Source organism: Homo sapiens, chromosome 3, assembly GCF_000001405.40.
Source record: "Homo sapiens chromosome 3, GRCh38.p14 Primary Assembly".
NCBI lineage: Eukaryota > Metazoa > Chordata > Mammalia > Primates > Hominidae > Homo > Homo sapiens.
In genome coordinates this window covers 38,779,619-38,804,946 of record NC_000003.12, presented here as the reverse complement: position 1 = coordinate 38,804,946, position 25,328 = coordinate 38,779,619, and the positions used below count along the sequence as shown (strand labels likewise).

The 25,328-nt window shown below is 38.8% G+C and overlaps 1 protein-coding gene across 6 annotated transcripts in view; it reads left to right on the top strand.

The window, feature by feature from the left end:
• Positions 1–25,328, top strand: part of SCN10A (sodium voltage-gated channel alpha subunit 10) — a 119,411-nt gene that overhangs the window by 11,271 nt on the left and 82,812 nt on the right. For 3 of the 6 annotated variants that reach the window (XM_011533994.3, XM_011533993.3, XM_005265371.4), the window contains exons 1-3: positions 10,937–11,206; positions 12,779–12,906; positions 15,911–15,991. In XM_011533994.3, the coding sequence (XP_011532296.1) occupies positions 10,937–11,206; positions 12,779–12,906; positions 15,911–15,991 (479 nt within the window). 6 annotated transcript variants of the gene reach the window in all.

Here is a 25,328-nt window from a genome sequence, read left to right as displayed (position 1 = left end):
AGCAGTTCTTGAAACTTTTCTTTCTGCTGTTTCTATGACACTGACATATCCTTTTTCTTCTCCTTCATTTTTGGCTACCGCATCTTTGTAATATTCAGTGCCATTCCGCCCCCACAACCCTCCTGGTTTCAGCCTTTATTGTTCCCCTCTCACTTTGGAGAACGACTTTTATCCAGATCTTGGTGGATTTTAGTAAGTTGTTATTGAACATAAGACACTTGTCTTTTCAGTAACCTGGATTATGGTCAGTTTCTATCCACCCTGGACTCACAATTCAGCTACATGTGCTTCCTCTTCCCTGTGTTCCCTAAACTCAATTTCGGTGTCAGGTGAAAAGCTCTTTTTATAAATATCTGATACATACCCATCCAGATTTCTTGAATATTTATTTATTCAACAAATAACTGTTGATTACCTAAAATGTACTAAACATTATTCTCAGTGTTTGGGGTTCAACAGCTAAGCAAATAGACAAAATCTATGCTTTCATGGGGAAAACATTCTAGCTGAAGGAGATAAATAATGAACAAAAATGTAAACTATTAGGTCGTAAAAGTGTTATGAAGAAAAATGAAGAGAGAGTTAAAGGAGTACAAAGTGGCCAGGGGCTGCTGTTTGGGAAAGGATGGTCGGGGAGTCTTCTTTAGCAAGGTAATAGTTGAATGAGCTATGTAATTATAAACATGAAGAGAATATGAGCAGAGAAAAGAACAAGTTGAAAAACAGAGGCAATATTGTGCTTGGTGTGTTCAAGAAACAGCCAGGGAAGTCTGTGAGACTCGGTTCCAATGAACAAGCAAGAGAATTATATGAAGTGAGTTCAGAGATGAAGTTATGGGAACACACTACAGGGTATATTTCAAAAGTGCCATTCTGATTGCTACAGAAACTATAGGCTTCAAGTGGTTGAGAGAATGCTAGCAGTGAGATAAGTTAAGAAGATATAATAGCAGTCCAATCAAGAGCTGATGGTGGATTGGACTGTGGCAGCAGCAATGGAAGTGGGTGATAGTGGCTTGGGCTACATGGTTAGCAGTGGCTGTGATGAGAATTAGACAGCTATACTTCAGAATCAGAGTTTTCTGAGAGACTGGATGTGAGATTTGAGGGAGAGAAGTAATGGGTAATTTAAAAGGTTTTGTTTTTTTTATATACTTTAAGTTCTAGGGTACATGCGCACAATGTGCAGGTTTGTTACATATGTATACATGCGTCATGTTGGTGTGCTGCACCCATTAACTCGTCATTTACATTAGGTATATCTCCTAATGCTATCCCTCCCCCCTCCCCCCACCTCACGACAGGCCCAGTGTGTGATGTTCCCCTTCCTGTGTCCATGTGTTCTCATTTTTCAATTCCCACCTATGAGTGAGAACATGCAGTGTTTGGTTTTTTGTCCTTGCGATAGTTTGCTGAGAATGATGGTTTCCAGCTTCATCCATGTCCCTACAAAGGACATGAAATCATCCTTTTTTATGGCTGCATAGTATTCTGTGGTGTATATGTGCCACATTTTCTTAATCCAGTCTATCATTGTTGGACATTTGGGTTGGTTCCAAGTCTTTGCTATTGTGAATAGTGCTGCAATAAACATATGTGTGCATGTGTCTTTATAGCAGCATGATTTATAATCCTTTGGGTATATACCCAGTAATGGGATGCCTGGGTCAAATGGTATTTCTAGTTTTAGATCCTTGAGGAATTGCCACACTGTCTTCCACAATGGTTGAACTAGTTTACAGTCCCACCAACAGTGTAAAATTTTTCCTATTTCTCCACATCCTCTCCAGCACCTGTTTTTTCCTGACTTTTTAATGATTGCCATTCTAACTGGCATGAGATGATATCTCATTGTGGTTTTGATTTGCATTTCTCTGATGGCCAGTGATGATGAGCATTTTTTCATGTGCCTGTTTGCTGCATAAATGTCTTCTTTTGAGAAGTATCTGTTCATATCCTTTGCCCACTTTTTGATGGGGTTGTTTGTTTTTTTCTTGTAAATTTGTTGGAGTTCTTTGTAGATTCTGGATATTAGCCCTTTATCAGATGAGTAGATTGCAAAAATTTTCTCCCATTCTGTAGGTTGCCTGTTCACTCTGATGGTAGTTTCTTTTGCTGTGCAGAAGCTCTTTAGTTTAATTAGATCCCATTTGTCAATTTTGGCTTTTGTTGCCATTGCTTTTGGTGTTTTAGACATGAAGTCCTTGCCCATGCCTATGTCCTAAATGGTATTGCCTAGGTTTTCTTCTAGGATTTTTATGGTTTTAGGTCTAACATTTAAGTATTTAATCCATCTAGAATTAATTTTTGTATAAAGTGTAAGGAAGGGATCCAGTTTCAGCTTTCTACATATGGCTAGCCTGTTTTCCCAGCAACATTTATTAAATAGAGACTCCTTTCAATAATGGGTAATTAAAAAGTTTTAAGGCTTGGGACCTAAGTTACTAGAATAATGAAGTTACAATGTGTTAAAACGGGAGAAGGCTAAGGAAACAGTATATTGGGAGTTAAATATTATAATTTCACTTTATACTTCTGTCAGACATCTGGGTGGAAGGTGATGAATAGACGGCTGAATACAAGAATTTGGAATGCAAGTGAAAGACTTGGGCTAGAGATATAAATTTAATGTTTCAAATGTGGCCACAGACTACTTAGGTTGTCTTCATAACTTCAGCCCTTTTCTCCTCTGAAAAGTAAGGGTCTGGGAAGCTGGCCAGATTAGTTGACTGAGGCCCAGAGCTATATTTAAGCTCCCAAAGGTTATGGACCTATAGTTCGTGTACTGCTATATCTCCAGAGTGTAAAAAAGTGTCTGGCACAAGGGAGGAAGATTTGAGGAAGCATAAAGGAAGACTCCTAAGTTTCTATCTTGGAAAAATGGCTATGAAGTTTATTGAGATAGGGAACACAGAGGGGAGAGAAGCTTGATTTTGGTGGAGGAAGATGATGAGATCATGGAAGACAATGATTTTGAGGTGTTTATGGAGCATTAAAGGGGATATGTCCAAAGACAGTGGGTTAGCATGACTGGAACTCAGAAGAAAGGTCTAGATTTTGGAGTCACCTACATGAAAATGCTAACCGTAGTTGTATATAAGTAGATAAGAGCAACCACGGGAAGTATGAGAAGGTACAATCCTACACAGGTAAAATCTTACACTTTTGCTTACTAATTAAGTTCTGGAAAAACTATAATTACCTGTTTATCCACATCATATCTACTATACAGAGTCAAATGCTACATTAGTAGGGAAAGACCTCTATTGGGTTCTTAAGACCTCAGTGAGTTACAGGACAAAAAGGCTGTTCTCAGAGGCCCCTTGAAATCTCACCAAATCTGAACACATTCAGATCAGTTGCTGCCTCTCTCAAGTCCCAGAACTCTCCAATGGTGCCCCAATCAGTAGCATTCCAGACCTGCTGTAGTCAGCCAGACCTGCCCCAGAGATTGTAAAGCTCTGAATCTGGAATCAAAAGACTCAGAGATAAGCTTGTTCAGTCCAATTAACATCTTTATATCACAGTAAGCACAGACCTTCATTGGTTCTTAGTTTTCTCTTATTTAAGAGAATGCCTTTGACCTACTGTACAGGATTTCTGTGGAGACAAAAAGGGATAATTATGCAGAAGCACTTTGTAAACTCACTGTACATAATGAGGTGCTGTTGTTACTGTTGTGAATCGAGGATTTGAGTAATTCACCTCATGAGGCTTAGTCATTTCTGTGATCAGACTCAATTAGCACACACTCAGGAGATAGCGAGTTTATGATTGTTGTGTAATCAGAGAAACATCCTGCTAAGATCTACAAAATCTGGTCGGAAGAACCCTCTGTCTTGCCTTGCCCACTGTAATCTCAGGGAGACCCTCACTGTCACCCTTATTCACACCAGCCTCTACCAAGCAGCTCTGAGTCAGCTGGTTCTCCCAGAACATAGGTCTTAATCAAAGACCAACCATAGCTATTTCCATCACTATCGAAATGGCAAATGTGAAACACCTGTTATCTGTTCAATCACATTTAGTCTTCTTCTTAGAAACTGCTCACTCATCAGATCTCAGAAATTCAAGTCAAGGTGCTACTATAGCCTATGAAGAAGAGACCCAGTGGGTCCTCTTGTAGCCCAGAAATCTCAAAAACAGGGTAAATATCTACAGAAACTTGATCCTCAGAAATAACCAAATTCCACTCTGTTCTCATTCCCTGGATGTAAGCTTCCTGAAGTTCCTGGCCAGGAGTTGCCCTGATTCTGACAACAAAAGGCAGGAAGTCCTAAGGACTGCCCCAAAAAAACCTCTGGGGAGTCAGAGTTTCCTAGAACGAATAAGAATACCTGCCACTTGGTGCCAGGTCTCTTTTTCCAAAACTCCCTAATACTGGCTTCTGACCTCCAAAATCCAGAAAGATTTTCATCCAGGCCCTAAGACTGTGGGAGTAGATCATGGCTTCACCAGATTCTATAACCTTGTCCTGTTTCACCTCACAGTTGCAGAGAATTTCAGTGCTTCTCAAAGGGACAACACCTTTGGAAGCTTCAGTTATGAGTCTGTTAAAAATGGGGCCCCCTGGGCCTCACCTCAGACCTACTGACTGAGAATCTTTTCAGGTGGAGTCCAGGAATCTGCATCTTAGTCCAATTCTCCCCTGTGATGGTGACACAGCTAGCTCAGCACCAGACTGTGGACTGGCATGTGAAGTTCACTGTACTAGAGAAGCTGGAAGAGCTGTTATCCACAAAGCCAGTGGTTACTGCAGAGAACTAAGAACATCAATGTCTGTTGTAGGAGCTTTGGTTCTAGCTTCTCTAAAGCAAGCAGAAAAAAATCCACATAGATACTGCTTTACCCATCTGTGATGGCAAACCATCCTGTTTACCTCCAGACTAGCTCTAGGGCTGACAAACTTTCTGAGAATAGTGTAACCCATAAAGAACTTAGAAAGTCAATGGACTGCCTTTTAGGGGTTGCCTGGACCATGATGGACCAGGGATCCCAGAGACCCTTTCTGGAAGCATTAGAGAACATATCTTAGGACAAGATTTTGCAAGCTTATAGGACCAGCGAACAATTTTAAAATCATCATGCACTGTTAAGTCATCAGTTGGCCCTCAGGAGATGCAAGACACACTTGAAGTAAAGTAACACAGCCAACATGGTTCCATGAATAAATCACCTGAAAAAATTATCAAAACCTTAATCATATGATTTTTTTAAAGAAAAACTTTATATGAGAAGCAAAAGTAACCAATTAGGGAAATTAAATAATTTGTTTTATTAAGAATAAAAAACTGCAATTATGCTGCCAAACTGTAGAGCATCAGGCAGAAGCACGTTCTCAATTAGCAAGTACAGCCATGTATTCAAGGAGCTGGGACTTCTCCTCTATCTCCCTGCCACGTTCAAGATTGGCTGTCACTTCTTAAAAGCATACCATTACATAATAAAAAGAACAATAAAACATGTTAGTGTCTTCTATACTTTTCAACAAATGTATTACAAAGGGGAAAATTTTACCTACATTATTTTTCCCAGAGGACACTTGTTTACAAATTCTGCAGAACACATTGGGGAAAATGCAAGGTTAGACAGTCCTCTCTGAAGGCTCTGAGCCAATACCCCTATAACTGATCAGTCAATGTGAGTGATGGGGGACTGCCTGTGAGAGGAATTTCTGTAGGCCTGGGTCTGGCCCTCAGGATCTGGGGCCAGAGAGGGAAGGAAAGCATTGGCCCTATAGCTAATCTGTTCTGCCATCACTCAGGTTAGTATTCAGAGATCCTACAGGTTCTGGGAGACATGGGATCTTTAGAGAAGAACAATAGAGAAAGAACCCCTCCCACCTGATATTAAGAAGGCAAAAGGGGCTGGGCACAGTGGCTCATGCCAGAATCCTAGCACTTTGGGAGGCTGAGGTGGGAAGATTGCTTGAGCCCAGGAGTTTGAGACCAGCCTGGGGAACATGGAAAAACCCCATCAAAAATATGAAGATTAGCCAGGCGTGGTGGCACATACCTGTAGTTCCACTACTTGGGAGGCTGAGGTGGGAGGATCACTTGAACATGGGAGGTCAAGGCTGCAATGAGCTGTGATTGTGCCACTGCACTCCAGCCTGGACAACAGAGTGAGAACTTGTCTCAAAAAAAAAAAAAAAAAAAAAGGAGGCAAGGGGAACCAAATATCGCTGTTGGTTCATCTTGGGAGGGCTGAATGCCCACCGAATAGAAAGGCTTGCTTAGCAGGAACAGCTATTAAACTTAAGGGAATATACCTGCAAAAACTCATGCAGACTGTTTGAAAGCCAGGGCCGAGCTTGGAGCTAAACTAGAATAGATATTTCTTGGATTGTCTCCTCCTCAGCCATTAATCCAAGAAGTGAGTATCAGGCCCAGACTAATCCTATAACACATACATTTGATATGGCTACCTCACAAAGGATGTGCTTTCCCCACTACATTCAACTAGACTCTAAAATAGGGATTCCCAATTAAGGTTGCAAGGACTATAGCCGTCACTATCTGCACCTTGCTCATTTCCCAGGGATCTAGACCAGAGGTCACCAGCAGACACTTCCTACATGTGACTTCCTGCCTCTGTCTGCCCAGGGCTTTCTCTGGCCACTGAAGTAAGTTCTGTAGAGTTAAAATCCCAGGACAACCGTCAACCAATAAGGGACAGGACTGGTAGATAAAACCCTAGTATCCTTACCCCTCAGTGAAACAATTCTGAGCCCAGTTTGCCCATAAGAGTAAATGGCTCATAAAAATACTGCTTTCTTCTTCTTATGTTACTTTTCCTCTCTTCTATGACATTCCTAGAAATAGCTCTCAGATAAACTACTTGCACCCCAATAGTTTTCTCAGAATGTCATGTAAAGACACTGGGTAATAGATGGGAATATAGAGAACCACTTCAATCAAGGGATCCCAAGTCCAGAGCTATCACTTCTGATGGGAAAGTCTTAAAAGAAGGACTGGTCCCTCATACCTACATCACATCACTACAAATTCCCACCCCAATGTTGAAAACAATTTTGTCCTTAGCTGGAGGGATTTATGGTAGCCCAGAATAATTATGGTCATTTGGCATGAAGTCAGTCTCATAGCTGAGTCTGCTTTGACCTCAAGCTCCAGCTCCAGGACCTGGAATTCTGGCTTAGTCCTGTTCTCAATCCTCAACATTGCATTCCAGTGTCACTGAGAGAATTCTTGCATTGTTACTAAACAACTGAGTCCTGGGATTCAAATTTGGTTCCAAACTATAAGTATCTCTTCTCCCCTAGACAAGGAAGAGAAAGTTAACTTAATCTTTGTTTCTCAGAAGGGAAGAATTAAAGACACTGAAGTCAACAGTGTTTGAATGGTCATTGCATAAATACACCATGTTAATCAGAATTTGGGCACACAACACATAGAACTTCTAAGTTAGAAGAAAATAGAAGACAGATGTTCAATTATGTAATGTAGGTTGACTTTGAAAAGTTCCGTAAGAAACAGATCAACTACAAATAGGCAGGAGGAGAGGAAGAGGGTGAGGGAAAGCTCTCAGAAGAAAGTAATGGAGGACATTAAGGAAGAGGAATGGTGTCAGAGCAGTGAGTGCTCCTCCCAGGACTTCAATGCATGGAAGGACTGGTGACAACCAGCAGAGCCTCCTACATATGGGTATTGGGTACCAGAGCTGCCTCTAGGGCTGGTGACAATAAGCAGTGTCTATATCACAGAGGTATTGGATTCAAGAAATACCTCTAGGTATGGTGGGAGCAAGCAGGATCTCCATCATAGGGGTATTTGATTTAAGCACTGCCTCTGCCACCATCTGCTTGACTTTGGGGTGTGTGAGCTTTAAAATGTCAATAGACTCAATAATCTCTTTGGTTCCTTATATTCCTATTATTGGATCTGTGATTTTTGCTGCATTTTTCTGAACAAAATGTTCTTTAGTTTTTCAGCTATTAAGTTTCGCCATTATCTCTATTCATGCAACAACTATCTATTCTGTATCTAGTTAGTTCCAGGCACTGTACTAGGTTCTGGAAAATCAATGCTGAACAAAATAGATGTGAGTCCAGCTCTCACTGAGCTTACAATTTGGTAGAAACAATAGAAAGGCAAACAGAAATTACAAATCAGATGTTTATAGAGAAAGTGCAGAGAGTTATGGGAACATGAAACAGGAATCCTAACATAGACTTCATATAGGTCAGAAATGGAAGAAATTGTCTCAAAGCCAAGAGTACAAGAATAAGAGAGGATTAGCCAGACAAAATAAAGTGGAAAGATAATTTTAGGCAAAGGAAGGGGAATATGGAAAAGCCTTAACATAAAAAAGAATGGGTCAAATTCAAGGATAAACTTATAAAAGTAGTGTGGCTGGGGACTACCATGCTGGAGAGGTCAGCGCACAGTTTGGGTTATCTTGAGTGCTATGGAGAGCTTTAGAATGATTTTAAATAAAGATATCACATAACCAGATTTTCATTTTAGAAATATCATTTGGCCACTGTTGGAGAATAGGTTAGAAAGGACTAAAGGGGAATCAAAATGACACATACGAGGCCAGTGAGATGACAGTGATTGGACCAGCAGTATGATGGAGAGGTTAGAGAGATATGAAGAGAAGATATTAAGGAGGCAGAAGCAACAGCACTAGATGTTTGATTGTATGTGGAATGAAATAGAAAGAGCATAATTATGGTACCCAGGTTGTGGACAGACACAGAAACAGGCTATTTGGGGCTAATGGCAGTAAAAAGACATAGAAGAGAGGCAGGTATTAGAAAGAAGTGAGGAGATAATTATGAGTTTAGTTTGGGGCATGCTGAGCTTGAGGTGCTCATGAGACACTGAAGTGGAGAGATCAAATGAAGATCTGAGCCCCATGGACTTCTGAGAGCTACAGATAAAGACTCAGTCATCTGCATATAAATGAGAAGTGAAGATATGGGAATGATGAGATGTTTCCAAGAGATTGTGGCAAACATACCTGAGTTTAAGTACCGTTCTGCCACTCATTAGTAATGTGATCTTGGAAATTTTAACTTTGCTGCTCTGGTATCTTATTTATATATTAGAGATAATACTTCACAGGTACAGTGATAGTTAATGTAATAATGCATGAAAATTGCTTAATCCAGAGTCTGAAATACAGTGGAATCTCAGTAAATGCTAGCGCTGTTGAAGTTGTTACTATTGTTATTATTCTGAAAACAAAAGATAGAGTGCCATTATTCACAATCATGTATGGGAAAAGCTGAGAAAGGAGAGACTGAGAAGGAGAAGAGAGAAAGTTAGGAAAACCAAGAGAGTGTCATGGTAGCCAAAATATACAGTATTTTAAGGAGGAAATTGTCAAAACAGCCAATAGGACCATCAAGATAAGAACTGAGATGGGCCTGGACAATATAGTGGTACACTGCCTACAAAAAAATTTTTTCAAAACTAGCCGAGTGTGGTGACATGTGCCTATAGCCCAGCTATTCGGGAGGCTGAGGTGGGAGAATTGCTTGAGCCCAGGAGACAGAGGTTGCAGTGAGCAGAGATTGCACCACTGCACTCTAGTCCGGGTGACAGTGATACCCTGTCTCAAAAAAAAAAAAAGAAAAAGAAAAAGAAAAAAACAAAAAAGACAAGAACTGAGAAGGGCCCCCTGACTTTAGCCACAAGGCAATCTCTTGTATCCCTGCAAGGAAGCATTTTAGTGAGATAGGAGGGCAAAATCCAAGCTTCAAAGACTGAAAAGTGACTGGAAACAGTGAGTAGAAGTAAGTCCTTTATTAAAAGCCAATAGAGAACAGGAGAGAGGAGGGAAGACCTGGATGGGCTCTGCATCAAGGGAAAGTTTTTAAAGTTGGAGGAAAGTTAAGCATCTTTAAATGCTGATAGGAAAGAGCTGGCAGACAAGGAGAGAGAAAAAAATGAGGTAGATATGAGATAAGATCCTAAGCAGAGGGAAAGGAATGGTCCTTAGAATGTAGGAAGATACCTCTCATGTTGTAAGAGAAGGGAAGGAGGAAAGAAGGCTGCAGACACAGGTGAGTTGGAGGTTTGATGGTATGAAGTTGGCAGAGTTCTGTTTTTCTCCATGAACTAGGAAATATGGTCATTGGCTTACTGCAAGGGAAGACAGGGAATAGTGAGAAAAGAGTGTATTTGAAACCTCAGACTAGAAGAAACTGCTGACTAGGGATACCATATGATTCCCAGGCAATACTGAGGTTCCCCATAACCCCTCAGCAGTTCAGGGGAACTGTTCTAGATTGACTTAGCCTTGGGATTTAGGATAAGGGTGAGGGAGTGGCAAAATTGTGGACCACAGGTCTAATCTGGTTATGGGGAAAAGTGTTCAGCCACAGACTGAACCTGGAGGTCCCAGAGAAATTGGAGGTCCCAATGAAATTCTCCAATAATCTGGAGTTCTCCAGTAACTTGGAGGTCCAAATGAAATTCAAACAGGTGGAGAAATGTTGACAATGTCAATAAATAAAAGATTGTGATAAGAAAGTAGCATGAGACTTAAGATAAAGTAGACTATAAACCAAAGTCTTTGATGAATATGGGAGAGTGCCTGGAACTCAGTGGTCCTGGAAATGAGGAGAGAGGGCAGCATGGCTAAATCTGGTGGTGGTGGTAGGATGGTACAAAGTGGTGAAGAAGCAATGACATAGAAGCACATGGGGAGCAAAGACATAACCCTGAGGCACCTGGAGGAGGGTTGAATAAACAGCCTCCCCTGAATGCCTTGCAGGGGAATGGGTTCCTGGGAGGAGCCAAGTGTGAGTTCAGGGAGGGGCCAGATATGAGGGTGGGAGAAGGGCTGTTCTGACAATCAAGATGGGACAGATGAGAGGGACAGGGCCAGTGGGCAAGCTGTCACCTCTCTGTGGTTATGTCCACTCTTATAAGAGTATAAATACTTCCTGAAGAAGAATGAGAAGATGGAATTCCCCATTGGATCCCTCGAAACTAACAACTTCCGTCGCTTTACTCCGGAGTCACTGGTGGAGATAGAGAAGCAAATTGCTGCCAAGCAGGGAACAAAGAAAGCCAGAGAGAAGCATAGGGAGCAGAAGGACCAAGAAGAGAAGCCTCGGCCCCAGCTGGACTTGAAAGCCTGCAACCAGCTGCCCAAGTTCTATGGTGAGCTCCCAGCAGAACTGATCGGGGAGCCCCTGGAGGATCTAGATCCGTTCTACAGCACACACCGGGTAAGAGCTACTAGTAGGAATGTCTGCTCTCAGCTCTTGGAGAGGAAGTCTCGGTCCCACCCAGCCCAGAAAGTCCTCCTTGGCCCTGGGTGATGTGGCAGTCTGCTAAAGATTCCGTTAACAACCAAAAAAAATATATATATATATCTCTAACTTATTTGATGATCTCTTTGAATTTTTATGACATTTATGATAGAAACTAACTAAACCCACATCTTCAAAAGCAGATAACTGCTGCAGAGCTTTCAGGGAAAGTTGGCTGTTCCCTTGGATGACCTCTGGCCTGGGGCCTCCAGAGGAGTTGGGTCTCTTTGCAGGTGGAGAGCAGACATCTTGAGGTTGGGGGAGGAGCATGGCGGTGAGGACAGAAAGCAGGATGAATTTAAGCCAGTGGTCCTCAACTATGATCTTGGAACCCCTGGTGTCCCCAAAACTGTTTTAGTGGGTTTATAAAATGAAAACTATTGTATAACAATACTTGGATGTAATTTGTCTTTTTCACACACTTTCTCTTATGATCATACATTGGTGAATATAGAGGCTATTGATGGGGGATGATGTCATCACTCTAAAAGCTACTGGAATGTGTGCCTGTATATTCCCGTGTTTTAAAATTTCCTGAGTTTTGAATTTCTAATATGAGATATATATACACACACATATGATGTATATATGTGTGTATACATCTATACACTATATATATACATACAACTATGTATATACATACAACTAGACCATGTAGCTAGTTATGTATATATAGGTATATAAGCATATATACATATATATTAATTTCTAATATGATATACATATATCTGGCATAAACAAAAAGGTATCAACATAAACAAAAGTTATTTGGGGTCCTCAATAAGGTTTGAGAGTAATAATCCCTGAAATCAAAAAGTTTGAGAATCAGTAGTTTAAACAAGAGCTTCTTCATGACAATTATCTCACCTGTGTTGTATTTTTGATGTTCTACGAGCCAAAAAATGGTGAATGCATGTTTGGGAGTTAGGAGGACAGGAATCAGCCATCTCAAATATGGCTAGCAGAGTAAATAAAAAGGCACTGAATATCTTTCTTCCTCCTCTCCCATGCCAAGAGTTCATATCCTCCTAAATCCTCAGAGGGAGAAACCAGGAGAGGATTTAAGAGACAGAGATGTAGAAGGTGGAGACAGAAGAAACATTACAAAACAAGGATGGTTCTCTTGTCAGAAGAGAAATTAAATGCAACCATAACTTCACCATCCTGTTGCCAGAGTCCTCCCCTGGGCATAACACCTCTTACCAGCCTGAGGATTGGCTGTCTGTCCATTAAAGTACCCTCAGTGGGCTCATCTTGGTGCACTGTCAGTCCCAGAGATGAGGATCTTGCTGAGAGGGTGAGGATATGGCTTTTAGTCCTTGATCCTCTCTGCCTCTCTGTACCTGCATTTGACTCTCATTGACCTGTAGTTCCCAGAGCCCTTCTTGCTCATAAGCCTGAGATAATGCCTCTCATGTTTAAAAACATGGTTGTATAAGGAATCTTGTTTCTCATTGGAGGTCCACTTTCTGTTTTGTTTTGTTTCAGACATTTATGGTGCTGAACAAAGGGAGGACCATTTCCCGGTTTAGTGCCACTCGGGCCCTGTGGCTATTCAGTCCTTTCAACCTGATCAGAAGAACGGCCATCAAAGTGTCTGTCCACTCATATCCTTTGCACGATTGCCTCTTCCACGTGTTACAATTAGACCTTGCCTACTGTGTCCAGTACCTTCTTTAGAGGTTAGCAACAGAGCCCTTATCCAATTGAATCCCAAAAGTACAATGAGGTCATTAGATTGAAAAAATGGCTTGGGCCTTTAATGTGTCCCACACCCCAAAGCAGTCCCAAGACACAGAAGAAGTGTTTATGCAACACACAGGTGGTTTGGATTCACCTCAGACTAATCTAGACACACCTGTGGATGCACAACTTGAAAAACATCCTCTTTATGAGGGGAGGTTTGCTGATGCCCCCAGACACATTCTCACCACGGTGTGTGGTCCGCTTTCCCCACAACACAACAGGCAGTAAGAGGGCCCAAGCCTTCTTTGGGCAGATGAGATAGGCATGAGTTGTTGCTCTGTGCCATAGCCATGCTGAGAAGTGGCTGCTTACTGGGCAAAAGAGCAGCACCTCCCAGAGGGCAAGGAAAACAGACCATGATGGGAAGAGCACACATAGTCTCAATGGGACCTCATTGGTCATGGGGCACTGTTAACATCACAAATTACTCAAAAACTACTAGCAGGTTTAAAATGTCAATAATCTGATGTTCATGCCATACAAGACTGTAATGATTAGAGACACATTGGTCAAATGTCTACTATATGAATTGTTTTAGGTAATGTCAGAAGCTGCTTTCAGGGGATTTTGCAAGGCAAGCCAAACTAGTAGAAAAAAGATACTTTGGTTTGGTTTCCTAAGATCTTCCTGGGTGATCCTAATGGAAAGATCCTAATGACCTAAGATCCTTGGTCATCGGAAGGATTGGAAGTTCTTTATGACAAATTTAGCCCTGGCTTGCAGGAGGTTGATGTACAAGAATACACCTGCCTCAGTTGCCTGACAAATGGTAACCAGCCTTTTCTTAGAAGGCTTCAGTAAAAAAGAGTTCTACCCTGCTCCCTAACTCTGAGGCAGATTGTTGGATTTCTGGACAGTTGTCATTGAGCTGGTAACCTTGGCACAGTCATCTATCTGCACACTCAACATGAAGCTGCACAGCTTGATGAAGTTGCATTACGTTTTCTCTTTTTACATTTTTTTCTTTCTGGCTGGCCAGCAAGAATTACGTTTTCTGAGCTGAATCTTGAATTTTCAGATTCTACAGAAGGATATTTAATGACAATACAGTCTCTCACTTGCTAAATACTTCCTAAGTGTCAATACCATCATCAGTTCAAAAGCCTCTGAAGTAGAGATTACCATCCCCATTTTACAGATAATGAAACTGACACACAGAGGCATTAAGTAAATTATCCAAGACCATGTAGCTAGTTAAGAAGTCCAGCCTGCATCCTGCGTAGAGCAGTATCTACAGTGAGGAAGTAGGGTGGAAAGTAATCAGGGTAATTATTCTCTCAATGTGTCGTCTCTGCTTGGGTAGTTGTTGCTTTTTCAAAATATATACAATTACATGGAAATTACAAATAAAGAGAAATCACAAACATACAAACTCCTCTTTATGGATTCTGGTTGAATTACATCTGGATAAGTAAGAAACAGCTAATTAGAAATAAAATCCCCTAAAAAGAACCAAGTGACCAGTGAATATTCTCTTCATCTTGAGATTTGATGAGTAAATAATTGCTTGGTAGAGTCACAGCTGGACAGAAAAGCTGTTGAGGGGGTCTCTTCCTCACAAAAGTCTGCATTTAAATCTCATAAATTTGGTAACTCCAGCCCCAAAAGATACTAGAATTCTCAGGGCCCTATTATTAATATTTCACCAAAAATATAATTCTAATCACATTTGCTATGAATGTTTTCATAACTAATATTATACATAAGATATATTACTTTTAAATATTTGTAGAATTGGAGACACGATTTTAGTTTAATCCTTGGATTAACATTTCCCCCCATGTGAGCATATTTCTTAATTTAATTGTAAGTCAGCAGGAAAATGTGGTTTAATTAATAGAATTTTCCTTTTCATAATAGATGTGTTCCTAAGTAACTGTAAAACTAGACACATCAAGGCATTTACAGAAAACTAAAATACATTTAAATACTTCTGCTCAAATTGAAAAATGAGTGTTGTACTCTCTCTGTAGGTCAAGTTTATCTTCAAGTTTTATTTTTCCTTAGGAAGCACTGTTGGGAGCCCAGCTATTCCTAAGAAAAATGTCCAAGTGGGAACAATTTACCTTTAGATTCTCCCCACCAACATTTCTTCCCTTCTATTTTCCCCTTCCACCCACCTTCCTTTCAATGTCTCCCTCCCCTTTTGATAATCCCTTTGCCCATAGTCTGCTGTCAATATTCTCCACTCTAGCTATTCAGAGTTCTCCACTCCAGCCTAATCCTACTTGGGGTTTTCTTCCTGAGCCAGTATTTCATTTCCCTGTGCCTGCCTCCACCGTTCCTACCCAGAAGACCATTTCCTCGGTGGAACTGATCTCAACTAAGTTACCCAAACAATCTGATGAAACTAATTCCCATGAAAGTTTGTACCTCTTCACTTATCTCCAAGTTTCTAACTTTTCTTTGTCTTTTAGAATAAAAAAGACATTTGCCAGATGAAATTTCAGGCCATTTTGTATACTGAAATGAAGGCTTCGGGGCAGAAGGACATTTTGGAAAAGGGAGTCTGTTTCCTTCTATCTTGCTCAGAGTTTGTTATCAAACAGATAAGAGTTCACATCTCTGCAGCATGGTTGACTAGCTGCATGACCTGAGAAAAGTTATTTAACTTTTATTTTTTGTCAGCCTGTTTCTCAGCTTCAAAATGTAGATATTTATACCCACCTGTAGATCAGTTGTATTAGAAGTAACATGGACAAAGTACTCAGCCTAGCTTAGGCACTCAGTAAATGTTAGTGGTTATTATGTGACAAGATCATAAAGCTAATATTGGCTAAGATTTATGAATGTAATCATTCAGCATCAAGGTGATCCTAGATGACATCACAGAGACTTGGTGATCTCAGCTTTTCCTTAACACAGGCCTTTCAGGTGGTTCAGTTTATTTATTACGGTCACTATTTTGGTTAATTGTGTGTGCATGACCCGAACTGACCTTCCAGAGAAAATTGAGTGAGTAGATTTGCTATCATTATTGTACCATCTCTTTTTGCTTTCTTTTCTTCCTTCACTTGGCAGTCTTTGTCTTTTATTTATCCTGCCATGCCTCATGTGGGTAATGCTGAATCTCATTGTCTATATGTCTTTGTAATAACCAGGTCTCTCCTTCTGTGAGATTTGTTTCATAAACATACATGATTTTCAGTTTCAAAGAGATACAGATTAGTGGTTCTCAACTTTGGCTGCATATTGCAATTTTTGGGGAGATTTTTTAAATGCCTGAGTCCCAGCCCCAGAAAGTCTAAGGTGGCCTGGGAAGATGAGTCTCCTCGCCCCCACCCCCCCCCAACACACACACACTCACTCACCTGCTAGATGCACACACAAATGTATGCCTTAGAGAAGGTATGCTTTTGAGAAGGCCTGCTATGAAAGAGAGACAGGAGCAAAACTGAGACAGAACTAAGAACAAATGGCTCTGGAGTATATTTAGAAAATAACTCATAAATGAAGCTGTTTAAGTTATCATGCTTCATATGCCTCAAAGTAACCTTAGTATTCCTGAAGTTATTCTATTTCCCTAGGTTAGTGGGTGAAACCCCTATAGTTTCAGAATCTGGGAGTTTTCCAAAAACATTCCATATCCACACATCTGGGAGGGATGCTTCCACTCCAGCTTGAACCTAACATACCTTTGGTTATAATAACAGGTGCTTTGCAGAGCTTTCTTTTTTTTTTTTTTTTTTTTTTTGCTAATCATAACAGTAATGCATGCCACAACAGAAAATACGTTATATTTTTATTAATAGATTAAAGGAAAAGGATCACATAGTCTTCTTAATTGATGCTAAAATCATTTGATAAAGTTTAATTTCCATTTATAATTTTAAATTCTTAGAAAAGTTGAAATAGAAGGGAATAAATGTGGCACATATACACCATGGAATGCTATGCAGTCATAAAAAAGGATGAGTTCATGTCCTTTGCAGGGACATGGATGAAGCTGGAAACCATCATTCTCAGCAAACTAACACAAGAACAGAAAACCAAACACCGTATGTTCTCACTCATAAGTGGGAGTTGAACAATGAGAACACATGGACACAGGGAGGGGAACACACTGGGGCCTGTTGAGGGGTGGGGGGCTAGGGGAGGGATAGCATTAGGAGAAATACCTAATGTAAATGACGGGTTGAAGGGTGCAGCAAACCACCATGGCACGGGTACACCTATGTAACAAACCGGCACGTTCTGCACATGTACCCCAGAACTTAAAGTATAATAATTTTAAAAAGGGGATTGCATCACTCTGATAAAGGGTATTCATTGTTTTAAAGTATCAAGCGTCATACTTAATTGTGAACATGGAAAGCTTTCCCTTTGAGATCAAAAGAAAAAAAAACCAAAGATGTCTGTTCTTCTCAGTTCCACTTTGTAAAGGAGGTCTCAGCCAGCATAGTAAAGCAAAGAAAAAAAAAGTGCAAGAAGAAAAAAGTACCGAAGATGTAATTTACAGATAATAAGATTGTATACATAAAATATCCAACATAACCTAGAGATAAACAGTAAGAATTAATAAAAGAGTATAGTAAGGTAGCTGGGTACAAATTAACATACATAAATCAATTGTGTATAGACACTAGCAACAAACAGAAAATAGTTTTTAAAAATACCATTTACACTGGCATTTTAAAATGTCAAGTATCTAGGAATAAGATTATCAAAGTATAAGTGAGATCTCTATAAGGAAAATTATAATAAGTATTGTGTAAAGTTTTTAAAGAAAACCAAATCAGTGGGGAGACATGTTCTCAGATTCAAAGTCTCAATATTGTAAAGACTCCCAAAAATGATTAATAAATTTAATATGATCCTCAAATCAATATTTCAACAGGCTTCTTTTGGTATTACTTGACAAACTTTAAACTTTAAATTTTCTTCCTCAAAAGTTTACATGAAATTTTAAAGAGCAAATTATAGCCAAGAAACTTTTGAGGAAGAAATACAAAGTGGGAGAACTCATTCTACTGGATGTCGAGATTTACTATAAAGCTCTAATTGAAGCAGTGTGCCATTGGTGTAAGATTGGTCAGAATAATGTAACAGCATAGACAGTCCATAAACAGACCAACACATATGTAAACATCTAATGTGTGAAAAGGTGGCACCCCAGAACAGCAGGGAAAAGGCGGTCTTCAAAAAATGATGCTGAAGAATTAGGAATCTCACTGGAAAAACTACATTAAACATCCAACTTTGCACCACACACAAGAATCAATTCTAGGTGGATCAACACCTCACTTGCTTTGTGAAATGCAAATATATAAAGCCCTTTTTTAAATTTTACTTTAAGTTCTGGGGTACATGTGCAGAAAGTGCAGGTTTGTTACATAGGTATACACATGTCATGGTGGTTTGCTGCACCCATCAACCCATCATCTACATTAGGTATTTCTCCTAATGCTATCCCTCCCCTAGCCCCCAACCCCTCAACAGGCCCTGGTGTGTGATGTCCCCCTCCCTGTATCCACGTGCTCTCATTGTTCATCTCCCACCTATGAGTGAGAACATGCGGTGTTTGGTTTTCTGTTCTTATGTCAGTTTGCTGAGAATGATGGTTTCCAGCTTCATCCATGTCCCTGCAAAGAACATGAACTCACCCTTTTTTATGGCTGCATAGTATTCCATGGTGTATATGTGCCATATTTTCTTTATCCAGTCTATCACTGATGGGCGTTTGGGTTAGTTCCAAGTCTTTGCTATTGTCAATAGTGCCACAATAAACATACGCATGCTTGTATCTTTATAGTAGAATAATTTATAATCCTTTGGGTATATACCCAGTAATGGAATTGCTGGGTCAAATGGTGTTTCTGGTTCTAGATCCTTGAGGAATCACCACACTGTCTTCCACAATGGTTGAACTAATTTACACTCCCACCAACAGTGTAAAAGCATTCCTATCTCTCCACATCCTCTCCAGCATCTGTTGTTTCCTGACTTTTTAATGATCTCCATTCTAACTGGTATGAGACTCCATCTCATTGTGGTTTTGACTGGCATTTCTCTAATGACCAGTGATGATGAGCTTTTTATCATATGTTTATTGGCTGCATAAATGTCTTCTTTTGAGAAGTGTCTGTTCATATCCTTTGCCCACTTTTTGATGGAGTTGTTTTTTCTTGTAAATTTGTTTAAGTTTTTTGTAGATTCTGGATATTAGCCCTTTGTCAGATTGATAGATTGCAAAAATTTTCTCCCATTCTGTAGGTTACCTATTCACTCTGATGATAGTTTCTTTTGCTGTGCAGAAGCTCTTTAGTTTAATTGGATTCCATTTGTCAATTTTGGCTTTTGTCACCATTGCTTTTGATGTGTTAGTCATAAAGCCTTTGCCCATGCCTATGTCCTGAAGGGTATTGCCTAGGTTTTCTTCTAGGGTTTTTATGGTTTTAGGTCTTATGTTTAAGTCTTTAATCTATCTTGAGTTAATTTTTGTGTAAGGTATAAGGAAGGGATCTAGTTTCAATTTTCTGCCTAAGGCTAGCCAGTTTTCCCCACACCATTTATTAAATAGGGAATCCTTTCCCCATTGCTTGCTTTTGTCAAGTTTGTCAAAGATCAGATGGTTGTAGATATGCGGTGTTACTTCTGAGGCCTCTGTTCTGTTCCATTGGTCTAGATATCTGTTTTGGTACCAGTACCTCGCTGTTTTGGTTACTGTAGCTTTGTAGTATAGCTTGAAGTCAGGTAGCGTGATGCCTCCAACTTTCTTCTTTTTGCTTAGAATTGTCTTGACTATGCGGGCTCTTTTTTGTTCCACATGAAATTTAAAGTAGATTTTTCTAATTCTGTGAAGAAAGTCAGTGGTAGCTTGATGGGGATAACATTGAATCTATAAATTACTTTGGGCAGTATGGCCATTTTCACAATATTGATTTTTCCTATCCATGAGCATGGAATGTTTTTCCATTTATTTGTGTCCTCTCTTATTTCCTTGAGCAGTGATTTTTAGTTCTCCTTGAAGAGGTCCTTCACATCCCTTGTAAGTTGTATTTCTAGATATTTTATTCTCTTTGTTGCAATTGTGAATGGGAGTTCACTCATGATTTGGCTCTCGGTTTGTCTGTTATTGGTGTATGGGAATGCTTGTGATTTTTGCACATTGATTTTGTATCCTGAGACTTTGCTGAAGTTGCTTATCAGCTTAAGGAGATTTTGGGCTGAGATGATGGGGTTTTCTAAATATACAGTCATGTCATCTGCAAACAGAGACAATTTGACTTCCTCTTTTCCTATTTGAATACCCCTTATTTCTTTCTCTTGCCTGATCGCCCTGGCCAGAACTTCCAATACTATGTTGAATAAGAGTGGTGAGATAGGGCATTCTTGTCTTGTGCTGGTTTTCAAAGGAAATGCTTCCAGTTTTTGCCCATTCAGTATGATATTGGCTGGGGGCTTGTCATAAATAGTTCTTATTATTTTGAGATACATTCCATCAATACCTAGTTTATTGAGAGCTTTTAGCATGAATGGGTGTTGAATTTTGTCGAAGACCTTTTCTGCATCTATTGAGATAATCACGTGGTTTTTGTCATTGGTTCTGTTTGTGTGATGGATTACGTTTATTGACTTGCGTATGTTGAACCAGCTTTGATCCCAGGTATGAAGCCGACTTGATCGTGGTGGATAAGCTTTTTGAAAGGAAAAAACAAAGAGGAATATCTTTATGACCTCAGACTAAGAAAAACTTTATTACATATGACACAAGAAGCACTAACTATACAGGAAAAAACTGATACATTTTAGTATACTATAATTAAGAATGTTCATCAGAAGACAACTTTAAGAGCATGAAAAAGCAAGTGCTTATATTCAGAGTAATGAACTCTACAAATCAATTAGAAAAATGTCAGAACAACCACTTGTAAAATAGCACAAAATTTGAATAGGCACTTTACAAAAGTGGAAATCCAAATGGCCATAAACATATGAAAGTATTCTTAACCTTTTTTTAAATCAAAGAGTTGCAAATTAAAATCACACTGAGATTTTATTACATGTTCATCATAGAAGGGAAATTTTTTAAAGTGTCACAATACCAAGTATTGGGAATGACATGGAGCAACAGAAACTCACACACTGCTGGTGGGAGTGTAAATTTGGACAACCTCTTTGGAAAGCAAGGGGTATTATCTAGTAAAGGTGTAAGCATACATATGCTGTATTCTTCTATTACACCCTTAGGTACCTATGTTTAACAGAAATATGTACTTGTGGACACCAGATTACAGCTACAAGAAAGTTTATGAACATTTGCCCATAAAAACCCCAAACCGGAAACCACTCAAATGTCCATAAACTTTGAGTACATTAACTATTTCTGTTATATTCTAAAATGAGAAAACTTACAGCAATAAAAATTAATAAACTTTAGTGCTGCACAACAATAAGGATGAGTCTTAAGAAAGTAATATTGAACAAAAAAAGCCAAATGCAAAGGATTACATAAACAAGGTTCATTTATATAAAGTTTGAAATCAAGCAAAACTAAACTATTTTGTTTAGGAATGCATACTTATGAAGTAAAAAGCATCAATAAAGTAAGGCAAGAAAAAGTACCAAAAATTAGGAGAATAGTGGCCTCCAGGGCAGAAGAGGGAGGATGTAATTGGGAAGGAGCTGGTGAAGTGCTGGTCACGTTCCATTTTATGGCATGGGTAGTTGTCACACAAGCTGCTATGGAGTGAATTTTGTCCCCTCAAAATTCAAATGTTGAAACAAACCCCCCATGTTGCTATGTTGGAGATTGGGCCTCTAAGGAGGTGATTGGGTTAAATGAAGTCACAAGAGTAGAGCCCTTAAGTGGTAGAACTGGTGTCCTTATAAGAGAAAGAGACAGCTTTCTCCCCTTTGTGTGAGAACACAAGGACAAGGTAGACATCTATAAGCTAGAAAGAGAGTCTTTCCCAGACCCAACTATGCTGACATCCCAATCTCAGGCTTCAACCTCCAGATTTGTGAGAAAATAAATTTCTGTTGCATAAGCCACCCAGTCTATGGTATTTTGTTAAGGCAACAAAGGCTGACTAATACACAAACATTTGTTTTAAAATAATTAATTTATGTTTTATGTACATTTTTATTATGCATGTTACATATCATAATAAAAACCCAATAATTTTTTAAAATAAATGACCATTGCAAAAAATGCAGAACACTGAAAATATAAATCAGAAGATGGTTACTAAGTAGAGAAATCACAAAATCATGAAATTATATTTAATATTGTTGAGATCATATAGCATGTAAAATGTCTATGCTTCTTTTGGAGTTTTAATGTAAAACATTTTTTTGCAAAATGAGTTATTTGGGAGTTATTTGGAGATTGTGGTTAAATATGGAAGATAGAATGCATATGTTTTACCCCACCCTCTCAAAATGCCAATAGAATGACAGCACGGGGGAAAGAACAGTATAAATATACAAGAACAAAGAGAAAGAGAATGGAAAACACAGAGGACAAATGATGTCAAAACACTTGGAAGACCAAAAGTGGGTGGAGAAGTGGTAAATCACTTAGCAGATCAGGGTTTGTTAAACCACGGTGCCTCCAGAGGGGGATAAAAATGAGAATAAAGGCATTTTACCGCCCCCGCTGCCCAACAAGCCCCAGAGGCCCTGCAAGTGTTGACATGATACAAATAGCAAGAAATGGAAGCAGAAAGAGGAAAGAACATGTGAGCAGAGTATGTTCACTTACTGCTGCTTCTATAATAACAAGAAGTTAAAGAGTATTATTTAAAGTTGACAAATAAAGAAATGGACAAAATAATTACACTTGACAGTACAAAGGTAAGCACAAAAAGATATTATTAAATACAGTCAGATAATGGATAAAACAGAGAGGAAAGGAATCACCAAATGGAAATGAGAGATTTTGATTAAAGAAATAGTACACTAAGGACAATGTATTACACGGTTTTAATTATAATTATAAATTTATAATAAGTTTTTACTTATAAAGACAACCACTAGGATAAAGATACAAACTCTTTAGTAATCTATATATTTGTAACAAATAATATGACAAACTCTAAATACTGGAAGAATTGTACATCAAAAAATAAAAAGCAAATAAGAGATGCCAAATAATGAAAAGGTACAAAAGTAATTGGGGTTTCAGACCATAAATATTAAATCATTATAACTAGGCTCAAACACATCTTTATTAATCAAAGTAGGAACCATTACAATCAACACATTTTTGCCAATGAGAAATGAGTTTGTTTATTCCTGTAGCATAAAAATCCATGCTTTGGGATTCAATGAACTCTTGGAAGGCATTTTCTGCATCCCGCTGGTTATGGAAGTGTTTCACCTGCAAAAAGTTGTTCAGATGCTTGAAGAAGTGGTAGTTGGTTGGTGAGAGGTCAGGTGAATATGGTGGATGAGGCAAAACTTCATAGCCCAATTCATTCAACTTTTGAAGTAACTGTTGGTTGTGTGACATGCAGTCGGTTGTTGTGGAGAAGAATTGGGCCCTTTCTGTTGACCAATGCCAGCTGCAGGCCTTGCAGTTTTCTGTGCATCTCATCGATTTGCTGAACATATTTCTCAGATGTAATGGCTTTGCTGGGATTCAGAAAGCTGTAGTAGATCAGACCGGCAGCAGACCACCAAGCAGTGACCACGACTTTTTTTGGTGCAAGTTGGGTTTTGGGAAGTGCTTTGGAGCTTCTTCTCAGTCCAGCCACCAAGCTGGTCATTGCCAGTTGTCAAGTAAAATTCACTTTTTATCGCACATCACAATCTGATTAAGAAATAGTTCATTTTTGTTGCATAGAATAAGAGACGACAACACTTCAAAATGACGATTTTTTAAACATTTTTCCTTAGCTTATGAGGCACCCATTTATGGAGCTGTTTCACCTTTCCAATTTGCTTCAACTGCCGAATGACCGTAGAATGGTCAACGATGAGTTCTTCCTCAGCTTCTTGTGCAGTTGTAAGAGGATCAACTTCGATGATTGCTCTCAATTGGTCATTGTCAACTTCCAATGGCCAGCCACTACTCTCCTCATCTTCAAGGTTCTCATCTCCTTTGCAAAACTTCTTGAACCACCACTGCACTGTACCTTTGTTAGCAATCCCTGGGCCAAATGCGTTGTTGATGTTGAGTTGTCTCTGCTGCTTTACAACCCATTTTGAACTCAAATAAGAAAATCGCTCGAATTTGCTTTTTGTATAACATAATTTCCATAGTCTAAAATAAATATAAAATAAACAGCAAGTAATAAGTCATTAGCAAAAAAAAAAGTGAGAAATGCACATTAAAATGATGTATAACATGGTCACATTTATTTAAGAATGTATTCCAATATCAAACGGCAAATTTCAACAATGCAAAAACCACAATTACTTTTGTACCAACCTAATATTTTAAAAACTAAATACGTCATATGAAATAATATAAACAAGCTAAGACTAAGCAAATCTGTCATGTCACTAAATATAAATGGATTTTACTCACCTATTTTTAAAAATGCCTATTACATTACAAAGCAATACCCAACTCTATGTTGAATAAAAAAAATACTCCTCACGGTGATACAGAAAGGCTAAAATTATAGAATTCAAAAGACATAAGCAAAGGCAAACAAAGAAAGCAGGATCCATGATTTTAATATCAGAGAAAGTGGAATCTCGGTCAAAAAGCATGAAATAGGACAAAAATTGCACAGACATATTAATATTAAAGACGATAGTAATCTATATCTTTGCAACAAATAAGATGGCAACAATATTTATAAATCAGAAATTATTAGAGTAGGAGGATAAATAAAAACATTGTAGGAATAGAAATTTTCAATTAATTTTAGCCAATAACAGATCAAATGTATTAAAAAGTATGTAAAATTATAGATGACCTAGTAATATAATTAATATAATGTATCTGATTAATATATAGCAAACTACCTTCCCTAACAATAGAAAATGCACCTCCTTTTCAAAAAACCAAACATATCAAACCAAATATTAAGCCATGACAAAAACCTCAATAAGCTCCAGAAAGTGGAAATAATATAGAAAACATTCTCTGATCATAATGAAATAGAGTTAAAAAAAATAACCAAATTTAATGAAATGAGAGGACTTTCCACTTGATAATTTTTAAAAATCTCTCTTAAAGAATTCTTGGACAAAAGACAAACTATAAACTAAAATTATATAATTTCGAGGGAAGGAAAGATAAAAAACAGTTTAATCAGAACCTAGAGAGTGCAGTTAAAGACATACATATTCAGGGAATAAGTCACAGCATGGAAGCATAGAATATTTATATCAG